The sequence below is a fragment of the Homo sapiens genome, chromosome 8 (assembly GCF_000001405.40).
Source record: "Homo sapiens chromosome 8, GRCh38.p14 Primary Assembly".
NCBI classification, from domain to species: Eukaryota; Metazoa; Chordata; class Mammalia; order Primates; family Hominidae; genus Homo; species Homo sapiens.
In genome coordinates, this window is record NC_000008.11 from 59,587,759 (window position 1) to 59,593,358 (window position 5,600).

The following is a 5,600-nucleotide window of genomic DNA, read 5'->3' on the forward strand; positions in this document are numbered from 1 at the left end:
GACCGCTATCATCATTATTTCCATTACCATTAGTCAGGCTTTAAGCCTTTATCACCTAGGAAATCACAAAATTCTAACATCTCCCTGCCTCAGTTGGAGTTCTCTGGTATTTTCCTCATATCAACCTAGAGGGAGGCCCTTAAAATAAGGTTTTTATCATTTTCCCCAGTATCTTAAAGACCTTCACTATCTCTCCATTACCTACATAATCACTTTTTAAAATTTATGTATATTTGTAGCTTACACTTAGCTCTTTAACTATGTTTCCTTGCCTGTATCTTAAGTGAATGGTCTCCTAGGTATTAGTCTTGCCCTTCACACTTCTGTTTAAGTACTTCAATGATTAAAATATTTGGTGGCCTACTGATAAATTCAAATACTTCTTTCAGGAAAAAAAGTTGAGAAAGAGACAACATTTGCTCCACATATATCTGTGGCCAGCATGGTGAAGAAACTTTCACAAATATTGTCCCTATGGTCTTATTTAGCCTTCACACAACATAATTCTGTTTGGAAATGGAACCCTGGGTGTTTTGAACTCTTGATGATGATGGACTTAAAAGAAAATGGATTAAGCATCAGCAGCATAGTATGCCTTGGGCTATTGATGTCTTAAATATGGTGTTACTTGATACTGAAAAACACAAGGTTTGGGAAATAAAGGACAATGCAACCATTATGTGGTTATCTTAGAACATGAAGCCAGACCATATTGTTATGGATAGGACTGTGGTATATCTAGTGAATATTGCAATCAGGTGGCAGGAAAGGTAAGCGGACCTTAGTTGAGCAAGTTAAAAAACTTGTCTTCCTTATAAAAAGGAGATCAATCTTGCTCAGACTCTAAGGTTCTGAGATGCTTCCAATGAGGGCAGAACACAGATATAGATCACAGGTAAAGCAAGGAGCAAATCTAGAAAAAATGTGAGGATTTGCCCTAAGCAATTATTATTTTCTTTGTGGTATTTTCCTTCTAGTGTCTGTATGGTTTTCACTAAAGTCTACTAAATTTGCTGCTTGATCTCTGCTGAGCTGTGTGAAATTGAACAGGGCACTAGTCTCTTTGGCTACCTGGTAGAGCCCATTTATAGCTAACCCACTCCCATGAACCTCAGTGCCAGGAAACAGCTGATGTGCTTTACATCACACTATATTTGCTTTACCAAATTTTTTTATAAATGGAATAATACAGAAGGTAGTCTTTTTGTTTTTGATTCCCACTTAATGTTTGCTGGTATTCTTTATGTTATCCCACAGGTCTCTGAATTTATGTGAAATTTTCATCAATCGTGTTAATACCTTTTGGTAATTATTATGTCTGGGAATTTATATTAGCTGATTCATTGTTGTCATGCTTGCCTTTAACTCTTCAAATATGATTTTGCTTTACTTCTTTGAACATATTTATAACAGTTGCTTTGAATTATTTTTCTGATACATTGAGATTCTAGGGACAATCAAAATTAGTGCATTGACTGCTTTTATTTTACACCCAGGATGGGTTACACTTTCTTGCTTTTTGTGAGTGCCTTGTAATTTTTGGTTAAAAGCTGGGCATTTAAGGTCATATAATTTAACTTCTCTGAAGTCTCATTCCCCCTGCTCCAACATTTGTTGTTGCTGTTTTTTGTTTGTTCATCTGTTTACTAACTCTCGTGGTCTAAATATATGAAATCATTTGACAACACAAGACAATGTTACAAATTTGGCTTTAAACGTTTGTATAATATATAAAGAAATTATAATTCTAAAGGAATTATGAGGGGGAAAACAGCTTTTTGATTTTATACTTGATATATATCACTTTGATGCTCCCTGTCCTTTTCTGTGGAACTGGAATAATTTCTTATCATAATGAAGAACTTCTTTAGTATTTCCTGTAGTACAGTCAACTAGTGACAAATTCTTAGTCTTCTTTTGTTACGCTCCCAAGAAGTCTGACTGAGAGGAGGAGCAAGTAAAGAATCATAAATAACACTTAATGAAATTCAACTTCAGGAAGAGCTAGAGCAAGAGCAGAGTTACAAATAAACAAAGGAAGAACACTTAAGGATATCTAAAACAACACTAAAAAGACTCCTCACAGGTGAACACTATGGGTTTTGAATTAAAAATTCTAGTATATAAATTCAAGTAAAGTTGGTCTCTGATGAATTAATGGCCTGGAAAATCAAGTGCAGGAAATATCTCTAAGTATAGAGCAAAATGATACAAAAAATCACTTAGAAAAGGATTAAAAACTTAGAGATGGATCTAGGAGATCTAACATAAGAAAAAGTGCTCCAGAAGGAGAAAAATGAATAGATATAAGAGGGGCAATCAAAAAACTATATATACATACAAAAAAATTCATTCAGCAAATAAGAGATCTGTTTCTAAAGATTAAGGAATACTGTGTTTTAATACCAAAATAATAACAAAAGCCAACCACTAAGAAGTATTTTGGTAAAAATACACAAACACACACATACACACACACACACACACACACACACAGTTCTGACAGAACAAATCATCCCCCTCTTTCCCAACAGCAAACTGCCTTTGGGATGTTTGTTGGTAACTATGAAAGTTGGAAGCCAGTGGAATAGCATCAACAGACTAGTGAAATAAAAAGAGTCTTATTTCAGAATCCTGTGTTCAACCAAGATATTATTCACTTGACAGACTGTTTTTTATTTTAGATCAAGAATATTCAAGAACTTAGCATATTACCCAAGTGGCCACCAAAAGAAAAATATTTGAAAAAGATTCTAACAGCATATGAGGCTATAAATCAGGGACCTTGGGAAGACAGCAGATCCTGGGAAGAGAACACGGTGGTGAGCAATCACTAAGCATGCATTTAATGATAAGTACAGACCATCTGGAAATATATAATATGAGTTTAGGAAAAACTATGGAGGCCAAGGCGAGCAGATCACAAGGTCAGGAGATCGAGACCATCCTGGATAACACAGTGAAACCCCGTATCTACTAAAAATACAAAAAAATTAGCCGGGCGTGATGGTGGGTGCCTGTAGTCCCAGCTACTCAGGACGCTGAGGCAGGAGAATGGCCTGAACCCCGGAGGCGGAGCTTGCAGTGAGCCCAGATCTCACCACTGCACTACAGCCTGGGTGACAGAGCAAGACTCCGTCTCAAAAAAAAAAAAAAAAAAAAAGAATAAAGAAAAAAAGAAAAACTGTTGAAACAGAAGAGGTGTACATCAAAGTAAATTCTGTTAAGTTCAAAATTATCCCACCAAATCATATAAATGGAGATGGAGAAAAAAACAGAAAAAGTTTTCTAAATTTCTCACTGAAGGGAGGGAAAAAGTAAGAGAGAAGAATGCAAATTATGAGAGACATAATATTCTATGTTATGAAAAAGACAGGAAAGAAGATAAAGATCGTTAGAAAAATGTACTGGGTGGTAGTTATTTAAAAATTATTTTAAAAGAGATTAATATCTATTAAGTTTTCAAGGGTGAAAATGAAGTGAAGAACAAGTTGTCAAAGGAGTAAAATTAAGGGAAAAGGTAAAACAATCTAAAATTTAAAATCAACATAGAGTAGATGAAAATATCAGTTATAATACTTTTTTTACATTTTAATATTGTAGTTAGGATATGACCATAATCAATAAAGATAAAAATTTAAATTAATAATAAAAAGAAATGGCTAAAAGATACAAAGTTTCAGTTATTCAAGATAAATAAGTTCTAGAGATCTACTATACAGCACAGTGCCTATAGCTAATGATATTATATTGTATACTTAAAATTTGCTATGTTGGTCAATCTTATGTTAAGTGCTCTTACCACATATACACAAAAATACCACATCATCATCATCATAAAGGGGATGAGAGAGAACTTTTAGAAAGTGATGCATATGATCATGGCCTTGATGGTGATGATTGTTTTGAACAGGTTTATACTACCTCCAAACTCCTTACAACACATTCTATTAATAAATAAAGTTTTTTAAATGTCTATCATACCTTCAATAAAGTGATTTAAGAACAAAATATAAACTTGACCTATAAATGAAACCTAATACATTTATTAAGTGTTTAAATGCATTTTCTATGTCATAATATAAATTTTAAAAATAACGAAAGTAATTGAAATATGTTAAATATTTTGAAATTAAAAATATTTTCCTAGATTAAACAAGAAGTAAACAAAAAGTACTCATTATCTAGAAACCAATGGATAGAATACTTTGTCAAAAAGAAACTTATGGAATACAGTAAAAGTGGTGTATCAGGGAATAGTATGATTTTAAGTGCCTGTATTCATGCAGAAAAGAGAAGAAAATACTATAAAACAGATATCTTTGCAATCTTGATAAAGGAACAAAAGAGAGCAAAAATAGACTAGAAATGAGAAAGGAGATAAGGAACCACTAGAGATGACTACAGACATTACATTGGCAGAAATTTGAGACCTGAAGAAATTACATGCTTGCTTAACAACATTCTGCCAAAATATCGTAACTGATATTAGAACAAGTGGAGAATTTGTGGACATTAGAGAGATATAAAGTTAACATGAAAAAGGCCACTAGGCAAATGGTTCCGGAGTTGAGTTTTATCTAATCTTTAAAGAACAAATGACTCTAAGATTATTCAAATCAATAAAGAACAAAGTTCCACATGTGATTTATACAGCCATCATTACAAACAAACCTGAAAAGGAAAAGCAAATATGACACTATGAATCAATCTTTTTATTACTAAGGTTATAAAAATTCAAAGGAAAAACTTAGTAAATGGAATCTTGCAATGTATTATAAGAATAATACACTATGAGCAAGCAGTTTCTCTTAAAGAATGCAAGGGTGGTTCAAGATCAGGAAATTCATCAATATAATCAACTGAATTAATAAGTTAAAAGAGAAAAAGCATATCATGTGACAAAATGCAGTTATTAAATACTGCAGCCATTGCTAATAAAAAATTTAATAAAAAGAAATAAAAGAACAACTTACATATAATAAAAACTATCAAAAACTGAAGACAAATATCTAAAATGGGGGCACTACAATCATTTTAATTAAAATTAGAAACTATTAAGAATTTCTACTATGATATTACTATCATTGTCTTTGAGGCTTTAGAGAATGCAATATACCAAAAAATATATAATATAAATACTTAAAAAGAAGAGCTACTTTTATTTCTTATTCCTGACGTTATTACGTACCTAGAAAGTCAAAAAATATTGAGAAAAAAGCAGAATTCTTAAGAGAATTTCATAATGTGAAAAAACACAAGATAAATATCCCCAATTAATAGCTTTTATATACCCTGGCATAAAATTTTAAAAGTGAAAATGGAAAGGTATTCCATTTATAATAGATACCAAAAACCTTCTATAATATTAAAAATATTAAGAATGTTGTTAATATTCAATAATTCAAATTTAATTAAATTAACAAAATTGATAATTGAAATGTAATATTAAATATTAAAATATTCTTAAAATATTGATTAAAATATTAAATGATATATTTCCACAATTATATATAAGTTCAATGAAGTGTCAATGAGCATTTTCAGAGACTCATTTGAAAATGTATAAAATGATAAAAGTTCACGGTGGATAATAAATA